At 38.3% G+C, this 15654-nt stretch overlaps 1 pseudogene across 1 annotated transcript in view, besides 1 other annotated feature; it reads right to left on the bottom strand.

The window, feature by feature from the left end:
- Positions 1-15654, bottom strand: part of LOC389765 (kinesin family member 27 pseudogene) — a 36878-nt pseudogene that overhangs the window by 20869 nt on the left and 355 nt on the right. The window contains exon 2 of the transcript NR_029410.1: positions 5748-6132. The product of NR_029410.1 is annotated as a kinesin family member 27 pseudogene (transcript). The remainder of the gene's footprint in view (positions 1-5747; positions 6133-15654) is intronic.
- Positions 2525-3026: an enhancer, noted in NCBI's record as "NANOG hESC enhancer chr9:88433900-88434401 (GRCh37/hg19 assembly coordinates)". NCBI's record gives its function as "activates a minimal SCP1, AML or CMV promoter by ChIP-STARR-seq in naive H9 embryonic stem cells {active_cell/tissue: H9 hESC(naive)}" and the evidence as "EXISTENCE:reporter gene assay evidence [ECO:0000049][PMID:30033119]".

Below are 15654 nucleotides of genomic sequence, written 5' to 3'. Positions count from 1 at the left end.
GAGAATCACTTGAAGCTGGGAGGTGGAGGTTGCAGTGAGCTGAGATAGCGCCACTGCACTCCAGCCTGAGCGACAGAGGGAAACTGTCTAAAAAAAAAAAAAAAAAGAAAAAAGATTTAATAAGAAAATATATTTGAAAAGGCCCAGGAATCAAAAAGACATCAAGTGGCACAGGTGAATTTCAAAGCAGGTAGATATGGTAGAAATGTACATTTTAATATAAATGATAAAACTATATGGGGTGGCATTTTATTCCATAAATAGGCCATACTGTGGTGGCTCACACCTGTAATCCCAGCACATGGGGAGGCCGAGGTGGGTGGATCGCTTGAGCTAAGAAGTTTGAGACAAGCCTGGGCAACATGGCAAGACCCCTTGTCTACAAAAAACACAAAAAATTAGCTGGGCATCGTGTTGCATGCCTATGGTCTCAGCTGCTTGGGAGGCTGAGAAGGGAGGATTACTTGAGCCTGGGAGACAGAGGTTGCAGTGAGCCAGGAGACAGAGCCTAGGTGACAGAGCAAGACCCTTTCTCTAAATACATACATACATACATACATACATAATCTTTCCCAATTCACTGTTGATTAAATACTAGATCCAGAGAGGTGGCCCTTGGCTCATAAAACATCATTCTACACAAAGGGCTTCCCCTGCCCAAAGCCACTCCACCTCTCGGATATTCACTACTACTAGTGGGAGCCATGTTATAGAAATGTTGATGCTTTTAGATGACATATAATTTCTAAAGCACAAAATAGCTGTAAAAAGCAGGAAACTGACCCTAGGTAAGACCAATCTATTTCACAGTCCTTTGCACTAAAATATCTTTCTCTTTAGATCATTTATTATGGTCTGGGTGGAATCCCAATCACTGGAGCACAATTCATTTATGTTGGCAAGAATGCTTTTTAAAAAAAATTCTTGTATCATATTTCTTCACACGTCACCAAGTCTATCTGTTCTGAGATTTCTGGATGGGGTGAAAAGGTGCAAGGAGCTTGAGAGTAGAAAGGGATAACGTGAAAAGACAGGGACGTAAGCCAGAGTTGATGGCGACAGAGAATGTGTGCAGAAAATAGGTGCAGAAAGGCCAGTTATGCCCAGTCCTAGACCCTCAGTTCAACAATGAGGAAGGAAACATCTCTACACCTCTTCTCCTCCAGCACTATCTAAGCCCACAGCTTCTACAAACCAGAACACAGACCAGTACAATAACATCATGAGTAAACACTTATTTCTGCTCCCACTTGTTTCAAAAAGGAGTTAGAGCAGCTTTACAAATAGGCGTAGGAGGGACTCAAACAGATACTTCTACATCGGTGTTCACAGCAACATTATTTACAGGAGCTACAAGGGGGAAGCAAACCAAATGTCCATCAAAAGAAGAATGGATAAATAAAACACAGTATATACATACAATGGAATGTTCTTGGAAAAAGGAATGAAGTTCTGATAGGTGACATAACATGCTAAGAGAGAGAAGCTAGACACAGAAGGAAAAATACTGTATGATTCCACTTCTTTTTTTCTTTTCCTTTTTTGAGACAGGGTCTCACTGTGTCACCCAGGCTGGAGTGCAGTGGCACAATCACAGCTCACTGCAGCCTTGACCTCCCGGGCTCAGGCGATCCTCCCACCTCAGCCTCTGAAGTAGCTGGGACTACAGGCATGTGCCACTACATTAAGCTAATTTTTTTGTTGTTTTTTGTAGAGACAAGCTCTCACTATGTTGCCCAGGAGTGCAGTGGTGCGATCTTGGCTCACTGCAACCTCCACCTCCTGGGTTCAAGCGATTCTCCTGCCTCAGCCTCCTGAGTAGCTGGGACTACAGGCGCCCACCACTACACATGGCTAATTTTTGTATTTTTAGTAGAGATGGGGTTTCACCATGTTGGCTAGGATGATCTCGATTTTCTGACCTCATGATCCACCCGCCTTGACCTCCCAAAGTGCTGAGCTTACAGGCGTGAGCCACCACGCCCGGCCCACTTTTATGTGTTTGGTTTGGTTTTGTTCTCTGAGACAGAGTCTTGCTCTGTTGCCCACACTGGAGTGCAGTGGCACGATCTCAGCTCACTGCAACCTCTGCCTCCCAGGTTCAAGTGATTCTCCCGCCTCAGCCTCCAGCAGCTGGGATTACAGGTGCACACCACCACGCCTGACTGATTTTTTTGTATTTATAGTAGAGATGGGGTTTCACCATGTTGCCCAGGCTGATCTCAAACTCCTGAGCTCAGGTGATCCTCCCAAAGTACCGGGATGACAGAACTGAGCCACCACGCCTGGCCTCCACTTATATGAAATATCTAGAATAGGCAAACTAAAAGAGACAGAAAGTAAATCAGGGATTATCAGAGAATGCGGGGAGAGCTATTGCTTAATGGGTACATAGCTTCTGTTTCGGTGATGAAAACTTTGGAAATACTGGTTATTATTGCATTAACAATTAGTATATTTGATGCTGCAGAACTCTACACTTGAAAGTAGTTAAAATGGTAAGTTTGGTGATCTTTATATTTATATGTACTTTATCACAATTGTAAAAATAGTAAAAAAAAAAGTGTATGAGATAAAATTTAAAGTAAGTGGAGGGAAAAATTGAGACTTTAAAAGTTTCTGTAGGCTAATTTAGAAAACTGCCCATCATTTTTAGCATTGTTCCATGGAAAATGTATTCCAAGCAACAAAGAGTTGACTTACAAATGAAACTTAAAAACAACTTGCTTCCAAGTTGAAGATTACCAAAGTTTAGGTTTTTGGCAACAATCGTTCTGAAAATCCGAGTTTCCATCAACTTTGATGGCTGCCTTTCCCCTAATTTAAGAGGCAAGACTGCCATCATGTGGCAAGTAAAGTAAGTTGTGGGTTTTCTTCTAATACAGTACAAAGGAAGATTCCCTTTTAAGAGCTTATAGGAACTAGCCTGTAGGAAATATCTAAACCTTTCAAACTGTAGTATAGATAAGCAATCTTGATTATCCAGAATAAATAATTGACCAGAAATAGTTCAGTTACTCCCCACATCTATAGATAACAAAGCACAATTTAAAAGACGTATCAAAAAGCTTAATTTCAAATATTTATAATAAAGCTCCAATATGTATTTTGATAACTTGAATATAAAATTTGCAATGTTAGTCTTATATTCCTGAAATAAACCATTTCCAAAAGAAAATCTGCAAAGTTTTATACCTCAACAACTCTCATTTAGCTATTATATGGTATTTAAAGAGTACACAAAAGTTTTTGGAAAAGGCTATACCTTGTAAAGGTAATTCCAACGTTCTGAAAAGCAGGAAAATGAATATTAGCTAAATAAGCATCATATTTAAAAATAAAGCCAGGCATGGTGGTTCACGCCTGTAATCCCAGCACTTTGGGAGACTGAGGCAGGGCGGATCACTTGATCTCAGGTGTTCAAGACCAGCCTGGACAACATGGCAAAACCTTGTCTCTGCAAAAAATTAAAAAAAAAAAATTAGTTGGGAGTGGTGATATGCCCCTGTAGTCCCAGATACTTAGGAGGCCAAGGTGGAAGAATCTCATAAGCCCAGAAGGTTGAAGCTGCAGTGAGCTGTGATTGTGCCACTGCACTCCAGCCAGGGTGACAGAGCAAGGCCCTATCTCAAAGCAAAATCAAAAACAAAAAACAAAGTGAGACTGTCTCTACAAAAAGGTTTTTAAAATAAAGTAAAATACATTTTAAAATAAAAGAGTTTCATTCTGCCCTAGTGCCCAGCATGGTAACCTAGACACTGCAGATGCTCAATAAATATTCACTGGAGGGGGAAAAAGAAAACATTATTTGCATGGTCAATAACCAAAAAGCTGACCCAGAATTGGTGTTCTATAGAGACATTCTGGGAAACAGAAAATGCTCACTAATACACCAAAAAATAAATCCAACTTTTTTTTTTTTCTTTTTGAGACAGTCTTGGTCTGTTGCCCAGGCTGGAGTGCAGTGGCATGATCTTGGCTCACTGTAGCCTCCGCCTCCCAGGTTCAAGCGATTCTCTGCCTCAGCCTCCCAAGTAGCTGGGATTAAACGCACGTGCCACGATGCCCAGCTAATTTTTGTATTTTTAGTAGAGACAGGGTTTCATCATGTTGACCAGGCTGGTCTCAAACTCCTGGCCTCAAGTGATCTGCCTGCCTTGGCCTCCCAAAGTGCTGGGATTACAGGCGTGAGCCACCACGTCTGGTCTGAAATGATATTTTACATTGTTAAATGCAAAAAGAAAGTTACAGAATCACAGGTATAATATCTCATTAAACAAACAAAAACCCAAAAAACTACACAAGTGAGTAATATGCATCACACTTATTTCTTTGGGGTGAGAGAAGCTGTCACTTGTTTAATTTCTTATGCATCACTTGCAATCCTTCTTATAATAAATATTTCTTTAATTTAAAAAAAGTAGAAAGAAAACACCATCCAAAATGTTTTTAATTGTCCTCCATTTCTTCTGATAGAGGGAATTTTAGAGCAATTAAAATGTTAGGACAACAGATAACTTCAATAACTTTTTCTCTTACAAAATTAAAATAGTACTCATGGTCTCTTAATAATAAAAAAAAAGGATAGCTATAATTAAGTCACCAGCTCCTGAACATTTATAACTCCTATTGGTATAAGGCACATAATGGGTCATTAGGATTATAAAACATTTGCCAATCAAAAAAAAAAAACCCTACAATCCTAAAGAAAAGCCACAATTTATACTAGAAAAACTGAATTCTTTTTATTGTAAGACGCTGAAACAATCTAGTATCTGTGATCTCCTAATCCTACAGAATATACAGATTGTTTTCTTTTAGTTGGAGAGTATTGGCCTCTTAAGGCTCCTCCATTTTAATCTTTGGAATAAAGATTTCCTGAAACTACACAACCACCCTCTGAGCCACCTCCCATCCATGCACATAATCAGAAGTTTCTTTTTAAAAATTTTTTTTTTATTGTTTCAGCTCATATCTGAACAGCTAAAGAGTTTCTGAAAGCCATATATTTTACATTTGTGAAATATGAAAATAGAAAAATATTGAGAGCCACTATTCATACAGAGAATACTAACTAAAACTTTAGACAATGATGCATATGTGCACTACTCAGAAGTTTGTTTTTAGTGGAAAAATATAAATACAGTAAACAATCTTAACAGAGGACTTGGCTGTCAATTCCCCCACTCTATTACCAGACACTTAACTAAAATGATTTCCAAGGTTCCCTTCAGCTCTATATGAGACCCTATGACTCCATCTTTTCCAAACTATAATTACAAGCAGCAGCAATTGTCCTAAAATATTCAGAATTTAAAAAAGAAATCTGGCTAGAATATGAAAAAAAAAGATACTTTACATAATAAATTTTTCCTACGGTCCCTAAGTCCTGATTGCGGGACTCTTAATATTTACAACTGGCTTGTTAAAGAATGCAAAATCTGATCATGTTAACTCATTTATCTCTATTTTAAATTCTGTTCAAGATAACAAGGGCTGACCACTGAAAACTATTTTAAACTTCTTTCCTCAAGCAAATATAATCCTAAGTTAGATTGCTTAATGAAACTTCAATATTTAAAAATGAATCTTTCAAAGATGATGATCTTACGATCACATTTGATTACATGATTCATTCCTTCACTATTCAACCAATATGCTAAACACCTACCATGTGTCAGGTATTGGTCATATTTTAGCTTCTTTCTAGCGTCACAAATAAAAGTCAAAGAGTATGAGAATCTTACCAATATGGCCCCCTCCAATGGTGTATGTCTTCCCAGATCCAGTTTGTCCATAGGCAAAAACAGTTGCATTACAGCCCTCAATGAGTGACAACACTAGGGGCTTTATACATGTGTTATAAACTTCATCTTGAGTGGAATTTTTGCCAAAAACAAAATCAAAAGTGAAGACTCTATCTCTCCCAATGATAACTTGCTGGCTGTTTGGAATAACTCTCACACAAACTTGGTGATTATGAAGAACTTCTTTGCAAAGCAGAGGTCTAATTCTTACAGCAACTTTTACTGGTATTTCTTCCTTGGCAACTTAGATTTTACTAAATAGATTTTCTATTTAATGTTCAGTATCTAGTGTGAGAGACTTCCATCTTATGTAAGATCTGGATTCCTGTGTATCAAAAATAAAAAGCAAATTTTAATTACTGATTCCTTGTATCCCAATAAACTAACCACCTTCTAAAGCAAAGTCAATTAGAACAGGTTTTGTTTCAATACAACATAGTTGAAATGAGTAAACCTGTCTTGTAAAATACATCGTAAATTTGTAGACAAACTAGTATGTCTTGGGTTTGCTTCAAAATAATCTAGGTGTGGGGTCCATGAGTTGATAAATGATGAAGCTAGGTGATAAGTACATGGGATTCCATTGGGCCTTTATTTCTACAGTAATAATGTTTCCCAGTTCATTAATCTAAATATTAAATAACCAGGGAGTTAGAAAGTTAAGGCAAGGAGATAAGTAAGGAACTGTACACACTTTTTTTGTTTGTTTTTTGAGATGGAGTCTAGGCTGGAACGCAGTGAACCACAATGAACAAAGCCCCTTTACCAACCTGTGGTGGACATGGTAGCTTGAGCAAGAAAGCAACTTTGCTGCTTTCAGCTGCTGAGATTTTCAGATTGCTACTGAAGCCTTATCAAGACTTATATCTTACACAAAAAAATTTCTTTCCATTCTAGGACTGATATGAAAACTGTGAATTTCATATATGGATTATTTGCATGCGTTATTCATAAATGTCTATTCTGAAACATCTCTCCAAGGCTCACAGAAATTTTCTTTCTGTAGCATAAGGCAGAGCTATCTTACCAGGGTATCCTTAGATAAAGTTTCCCTTAGGCCTTGGGGCAGCCAGGAAACCCCTGAAAAAGTAAAAGCCTCTGTTCCAGTCACTTCCAGATACAAGAAACCTCATCCAGTGCTCCTCAGTGGGTAGCTCCTGCACAAGCTGCTCTGGAGTTATGTCAACTATGAAAAGGGAAGTGCTCCAAGTCCTAGTAATCTACCTCATCAGACAACTGCAGAATGCACTGCTACCCATTATCAAAGACAGGCTTGTGAAACTGTTGGAAGATTATGTTCAAGGTGCCTAAACAGCAAGGCACACAGTAGAATAAGCAGCAAGTCAAGAATGGGGGAGCCCAAAATCTAGTGAGCAAGGTTTCCTTAAAGCAACAGCCTTAAATTTCTATATTGATTATATTTTTACCCATTTGCCAGTGACATGCATTTTCAGCATCAAATCTAGCTGCAAGGTGACTGCTCAAACAATGCATATGCTTTCTGTCACCTAGAGCTTTGTCATTAAACACTTGAAATTAGAAAGGTCAACTGAATTTGAAATCCTGTCATTCACTTATTTATTCATTTGTTTATTTTTGAGACAGGGTCTCGCTCTGTCGCCCAGGCTGGATTGCAGTAACATGATTATGGCTCACTGCAGCCTCGACTTCCTGGGCTAAAATGATTCTCCCAGATCAGCCTCCTGAGTAGCTGGGACTAAAGGTGTGTGCCACCATGCCTGGCTAATTTTTTCTATTTTTTTATAGAGATGGTGGGGTCTCCCTATGTTGCCTAAGCTGGTCTCCAGCTCCTGGGCTCAAGTGATCCTACTGCCTTAGCCTCCCAAAATGCTGGGATCACAGGCATGAGCCACCTCAACTGCCCCAAATCCTTTCATTTTTATCACAAGAAATTTTCTATTACATTTTTGATGAAAAGAGCTGTTAGATTATTTAAAAATAATTCCAACTGTTGTAAATTACTGAATGCTTAGATAAAAATTGTTTTTATTACCTACTCATACAAATGAAATTGTAATGGGCACTCAATTCTAAGAAATCATTATTTAAAAGTTTAGATCAGGAACTGAATATTCTTATTTCATGGATAAACTGATTTTAAAATGAAAAGTTAATGTTTACAGAAGCAAGTACAATTCTCTCATTAGAAACCCTGAAAAGAGTCTGAAGTTTTATAGAAATTCAACATTTAGTAACTTTCCTATAAATTTATATTATGTTTTACTTATCCTATACTATAACAAAAACGTTTTTCACATTTTTTTCCATCTAGTTCAATACAGACACCTTTAAATCTCTTTCCAGTTTTGGGAGAATGAGATGCCTCTGGTTCTTTATGTCAGTAATGCAAAAGGCAAATGGCAGGGAGCACCAGCACAAGACCACTGACCTGGAGCCAGAATGCCCATCACACCCAACTTGCTACTTACTGTAAGTACTTGAGCAACCTACTTGATCTCTCTTGAGTTGCTGTAAAGACTGAATAAGTTAATATATAAAGCACTTAGAATAGTAGCCAGAAGCATTCAATATACTCAAGCATCACTTAATGATGGGGATACGTTGTGAGAAATGCATCATTAGGTGATTTCATCATTGTATGAGTATCACACAGTGTACTTACACAAGCCTAACTGGTACAGCCTACTATCCACCTAGGCTACATGGTATGGCCTATTGCTTCTAGGCTACAAATCTGTACAGCCTGTGACTGTATTGGAGGCAACTGTAACACAATGGTAAGTATTTGTATATCTAAAGAAAAGGTACAATAAAAATACCGCTTTATATATGTCCATCATTGACCAAAACAAAACATAGTTAATGCAGCACATGACTATATAAGCATTTATGGGTGTTCTTACTATTATTATTAGACTGAAATGTGCCATGAGGTGCTATGAGGCATAGGAGAATTGGTACAAACTATTTAAAAATTTGACTAAGCATGCCTGACTCCATTGCAAAGTGTTTTGAAACTTTATCAACATCTGGCCCCTATATAAGCTAAGGCTTTAATCTTTGAAATAAAAAAGTTTTTAGGCATTGAGTAGTAGGTGAGTGGTCAGCCACTGAAAAGAGTCAAAGACCTAAAGATTACACATAACATACTACAGAAGGAAAATACCTATCTACCAGAAACCCAAGAGTCACAGTTGAGACTATATCTTAAATAGTGGGCATACAATAGATAATAAATGTTTCTTGAATGAATGAAAAAAAGTAACAAAAGAAACAAAAAGCAAACAGAAAGTATTATGACAAATACTGTTAATCAAGAAAAGAACCAATGACAAACACTCAAAAGACAAAATTATTTTTCTGGTAAAGCAGCTACTTATGCTGTGTCACATCAGCAACCTATGTGTTAACATGTCTTAACTTCTAAAAGGGTAAAATGGAAAGGGGGAAATGCTCCTTTAATGACCCCTTGTTTGATCAGGGTAAAGTGCAAAAAAAGAGTAAGATAAGTCCTTGCCCACGCCTATGTCCTGAATGGTAATGCCTAGGTTTTCTTCTAGGGTTTTTATGGTTTTAGGTCTAACGTTTAAATCTTTAATCCATCTTGAATTGATTTTTGTATAAGGTGTAAGGAAGGGATCCAGTTTCAGCTTTCTACATATGGCTAGCCAGTTTTCCCAGCACCATTTATTAAATAGGGAATCCTTTCCCCATTGCTTGTTTTTCTCAGGTTTGTCAAAGATCAGATAGTTGTAGATATGCGGCATTATTTCTGAGGGCTCTGTTCTGTTCCATTGATCTATATCTCTGTTTTGGTACCAGTACCATGCTGTTTTGGTTACTGTAGCCTTGGGCAAGGACTTCATGTCCAAAACACCAAAAGCAATGGCAACAAAAGCCAAAATTGACAAATGGGATCTAATTAAACTAAAGAGCTTCTGCACAGCAAAAGAAACTACCATCAGAGTGAACAGGCAACCTACAACATGGGAGAAAATTTTCGCAACCTACTCATCTGACAAAGGGCTAATATCCAGAATCTACAATGAACTCAAACAAGTTTACAAGAAAAAAACAAACAACCCCATCAAAAAGTGGGCGAAGGACATGAACAGACACTTCTCAAAAGAAGACATTTATGCAGCCAAAAAACACATGAAAAAATGCTCATCATCACTGGCCATCAGAGAAATGCAAATCAAAACCACTATGAGATATCATCTCACACCAGTTAGAATGGCAATCATTAAAAAGTCAGGAAACAACAGGTGCTGGAGAGGATGTGGAGAAATAGGAACACTTTTACACTGTTGGTGGGACTGTAAACTAGTTCAACCACTGTGGAAGTCAGTGTGGCGATTCCTCAGGGATCTAGAACTAGAAATACCATTTGACCCAGCCATCCCATTACTGGGTATATACCCAAATGACTATAAATCATGCTGCTATAAAGACACATGCACACGTATGTTTATTGCGGCATTATTCACAATAGCAAAGACTTGGAACCAACCCAAATGTCCAACAATGATAGACTGGATTAAGAAAATGTGGCACATATACACCATGGAATACTATGCAGCCATAAAAAATGATGAGTTCATGTCCTTTGTAGGGACATGGATGAAATTGGAAACCATCATTCTCAGTAAACTATCGCAAGAACAAAAAACCAAACACCGCATATTCTCACTCATAGGTGGGAATTGAACAATGAGATCACATGGACACAGGAAGGGGAATATCACACTCTGGGGACTGTGGTGGGGTCGGGGGACGGGGGAGGGATAGCATTGGGAGATATACCTAATGCTAGATGACACGTTAGTGGGTGCAGCACACCAGCATGGCACATGTATACATATGTAACTAACCTGCACAATGTGCACATGTACCCTAAAACTTAAAGTATAACAATAATAATAAAAAAAGAAAAAAAAAAAAAAAAGAGTAAGATAGTGCAGCCACTTCCCATTATATTATACTTTACATAACAGTAAATATTAAAGACAAAAAATAGCACTACTTAATCTGCAGCTAAGGGGATAGGAGATGAAACAACTGGAAGGGTTCAATCATCTGAGCTATGCTATACTTAAAAAAAAAATAGCCAACATATCAACACATCATCTACTTCAACAGCCTTGACAGAAATCTACATGCTATGTCAAAAGGTACAATGACCAGTACTTCAGAAGTAGAAGAGAAGGAAATGTAATTTTAAATGAAAGAAGGGAATAAAACTTAATATGAAAATAATCCCCAATTTGTAAATATGTCTATTATTCATACACATACCAAAATGAAGAAAGAAATGCATGGGATTACTCACTATGCTTATTTTCCTTTCTATAGTTTTTACTATTTCCCCAAATATTCTACAATGACTATATACATATATATATACACACATACATATATATACACATACACACACACACACACACACACACACACACACACATATTTTTTTTTTTGAGACAGGGTCTTACTCCCACACCAAGGCTGGAGCAGTGGTGTGATCACGGCTCACTGCAGCCTCAACTTCCTGGTCTCAGGTGATTCTCCCACCTTGGCCTCCGGAGTACCTGGGACTACAGGCACGTGACACCATGCCTGGCTAATTTTTTGCAGAGACAGGGTTTTGCCATGTTGCCCAGGCTGGTCTTGAACCCCTAGGCTCAAGCAATCCTCCTACCTCAGCCTCCCAAAGTGCTGGGATTACAGGAATGAGCCACCATGCCCGGCTCTACAATGATATTAGTTCTTAAAAAAAAAAAATCTCAAAAAGAAAAAATGGTTATCTATACTCAAGTTGAAAAAGTTAAGCATAATGTAATCAATACAATATTGATTTTTTTGCCCTGTGTCAAAATTTAGAAAGGGCAACTACAGGTCAGAATTGACAATGAGACGCCTTTGGCCATTCACATCAGTGATGGACAAGTCAAATGACAGAGAGCAACTATCGAAGACTAATATGTTGCATACTTTTAAGAGAACATTATCCTCGTTAACTAATTTTTCAGAATTTTCAAAAAGATAGTCATGTTTTGCAATCCGGGAATTCCTCCGTAACTTTTTTTTTTAATCTTGATAAGAAGAAATAAATAGGAAGACTACGAAAACATTAGGCTTTTAAAAGATACTATATTTCAGGTCATGGCTAGGGTTAGTATTCCTTCAGTCTTGTGTCCTAAACTTCTGCATCTCCACATACAGTCACATCTAAGAGATGTTAGGATAAATAGATTCAAACACAGCTCTTCTCCCTCCCTCTCTATACTTTTTCTCTTTCAAATACACTTGGTCTTTAAAATTTAGATGCTTCTATGCTCAGACATTTATATACACATAATATAATTAAGGCATACAATGCAAATGAAAATACAATGGACTGCCAATTAAGTTACATACATTAGTCTATGAATATGGTGGCTAATACTGTATATTAAACATTTACATATTATTAAAATACTACACAAATCAGGTTTTTGGTGCAGAAATCTAATGATTATTTTATTTACATTTTCCCCCTCTTCCCTTTGAGTTCCTTTGAAAAATAATTTCAAGGATATCTTGGCTCAGTGGTGCACACCTGTAATTTTAGCAACTTGGGAGACTGAAGCATGAGATCACTTAAGTCCAGGAGTTTGGGACCAGCCCAGGCAACATAGCAAAACCCTATCTCATAAAATAAATGATAAAACTAATTTCAAGGATAATGCATAGTTGAAGGAAGACAAAATAAATTCACAAGATAATTTTAAAAACAGAAATGTTTCAGGGCAAAATGTGAAATAAACACACATTCTCAATATGCAGGCAGTTCACCATAAATATATCTTCTACTCTCTTCCATAATGTAATGACTACCACTAGTAAAAACTATTAATTTATACTTAAGATGGCAGCAGGCCAGACATGGTGGTTCATGCCTGTAATCCTGGTACTTTGGAAGGGCTGAGGTGGGCAGCAGATTGCTTGAGCCCGGGAGTTCAAGATCAGCCAGGGAAACATGGCAAAACCCCTTCTCTACAAAATGTACAACAGTTAGCAGGCATAGCGGTGCACGACTGTGGTCCCAGCTACTTGAGAGGCTAAGGTGGGAGGATCACCTGAGCCTGGGGGTCGAGGCTGTAGTGAGCAGTGATTGTGCCACTGCACTACACCTTGGGTGACAGCCTGAGACTCTTTGTCAAAAAAGAAAAAGAAAAAAAAAAGATGGCAGCAGTGTCAAAAATATAACAGTCTCTATTTTACATATACTTCATACCCAAAAAGCCAACTATTTGACTTATTAAATGTAATAGCATGCGTTAGGGCTTTCTCTAGCAACCCTCTTTCTTCAGATTTTGCATGTACTCCAAGAAAAAACAACTTGAAATTTCTTGAACACACAGTTTACTTGTTCATATCTTTAACTATGCTGTTCTCTTTTATCTACAATGCCATCTATCTCTTCCACTGAAAACTTCCATTTATTCCTCAAAATCCTGCTCAGGTGCTAGCATATCTGTGAAGCGTTCTCTGACCTGTTCCTGAAGTCAAACATTCCCTCCTCGGTAATATTTCCATACTTTAAACTTACTATTATTGAATGGACTCCAAAAAAATTCTCTTTATTGTTGTGTCTAGCCCTATGATCCTGATTTCAAGATCCTGAAAGACAAGTTTCTATCCCTTACAAATACCACAGGACCTGGCACATAGAAGACACATTTATTGAACTCAGTGTTTTCTTCATGTTTACATTCTTCAAGTACACAGCTGTCTATGCAGTGAAAAATGTGCTCTACAAGTAGAAAAAGAAATATGTGAAGTGCACAATAGACAATCCTCAATTCCCATAATGCAGATGTGCATGAGCAATTATTAGCAGTTCAAAGTTGTTTCATTACGGTAAGTACTATTCTAACAAACTAACTGCCCCAACCAATTTTGTCTAGGAAGCATATATGGTTTTAAAGTGTTGATTTACGCCAGCTGGGCATGGTGGCTTACGCCTGTAATCCCAGCACTTTGGGAGGCCAAGGCGGGCGGATCACAAGGTCAAGAGATCGAGACCATCCTGGCCAACGTAGTGAAACCCCATCTCTATTAAAAATACAAAAACTAGCTGCGAGTGGTGGCGCACGCCTGTAGTCCCAGCTACTCGGGAGGCTGAGGCAGGAGAATCGCTTGAACCAGGGAGGTAGAAGTTGCAGTGAGCCAAGATTGCGCCACCACATTCCAGCCTGGCAACAGAGCGAGAGACTGTCTCAAAAAAACAAAAAACAAAAGTGTTAATTTAAGAGAATTAGGATGCATCGGTTGCTTACGTAAACTCTTCTAAAAATGAATAGCCTAAGCTACAAGCAGGAGAACTTCTTTTTTTTTCTCTTTGTGTATACATGGGGTCTCACCACGTTGCCCAGGCTGATCTCAAACTCCTAAGCTCAAGCAATCCTCTAGCCTCGGCCTCCCAAAGTGCTGGGATTACAGGCATGCACCACCAAGCCTGACCCAAGCAGAAGAATTCCTAAGTGGCTGGTAGTCTTGGCCTCTATCAAGGTTTGGAGGCACATTGCCATTATGACCTTACCCTCTACACTATGACCTCACTAGAATCAAGACAGACAGCAGCAGCCATATCTCAGTCCAGAAGACCACAATTAGGGAGCTTCAAAACACACACACACACACACACACAATTATATATATAAAATCCTTAAATCAAGAACAACCAAATATATCACTTTTTATGAGATGAATGATAGCCATCTTCTATTAACACTACCAATTAGCCTGACCAAAAAAAGGTATTAATGTAGATGCCAATTAGTGTGGCCTCACTGAAATATAACTTAGATTGAAATTAACTGAGCGTAATATGAAATGGCACCAAGTATCACTGATTTAACACCTGGTGAAATAAAAAATTGTGTTATTTCATGTTCTGTTCTTCAAATAACCAAACAGTATCTTTCACTTTGGCTTCTTAAAAATTAGCGTTCACAGGCCAGGTGTGGTGGCTCACACTTGTAATCCCAGCACTTTGGGAGGCAGAGGCGGGCGGATCACAAGGTCAGGAGTTCCAGACCAGGCTGGCCAACAAGGCGAAACACCATCTGTACTAAAAATACAAAAAAAAAAAAAAAAAATTAGCCAGGCGCCTGTAATCCCAGCTACTCAGGAGGCTGAGGCAGGAGAGTTGCTTGAACCTGGAAGGCAGAAGGTGCTGTGAGCCGAGATCGTGCCATTACACTCCAGCCTGGGCAACAAGAGCAAAACTCCGCCTCAGGGAAAAAAAAAAATACAGTTCACAATCAGCAAGTGTGAAGTGCATACTAAAACTCTGCTCCAAACACACTTACTGTAAGTGATGTAAACCCAATGGGTATGCCCCAAACTCCATTTTTTCCTCACAGTTAAGTACTGAGACCCCTCTCCAATCTGCAGCTCCCACTTTCTGTAGGCCAAGAAAGTTAAACAAAAAAATACAAGCAGGTACTCAGTGAGGACCTGAGGGATTCTCCCACGAGTAAAATACATCTATTTTCACACAAGGTTCTTTTGGTCAACTTCTGGGTTTTGCTCTTACTCCAGAATTGAAGCTACTATAGTGTTATAAATCTGTTGAGAAAAGAAATCTAGATTTGTATGAAGATCTTTAATATTTTAATTTGCCAAAAAGCTTCTCAAATATTTTTATAGCTACAAGTCACATTTATTAAGTGATTCCAGTTACAATCCCAAGCACATTTACTACACAACAGGCAATGCTAAATGTTGAAGAAAAGTGTCTCCAGCTTTTTAGTGTAAGACAGACGATCTTTCATTAGTCCTTCTAATGAAAGCATTAGCATCTACTCTGAAAAATCTG

Source organism: Homo sapiens, chromosome 9 (assembly GCF_000001405.40).
Source record: "Homo sapiens chromosome 9, GRCh38.p14 Primary Assembly".
In the NCBI taxonomy this organism is placed as follows: domain Eukaryota; kingdom Metazoa; phylum Chordata; class Mammalia; order Primates; family Hominidae; genus Homo; species Homo sapiens.
This window is presented reverse-complemented; position numbering and strand designations above follow the sequence as displayed.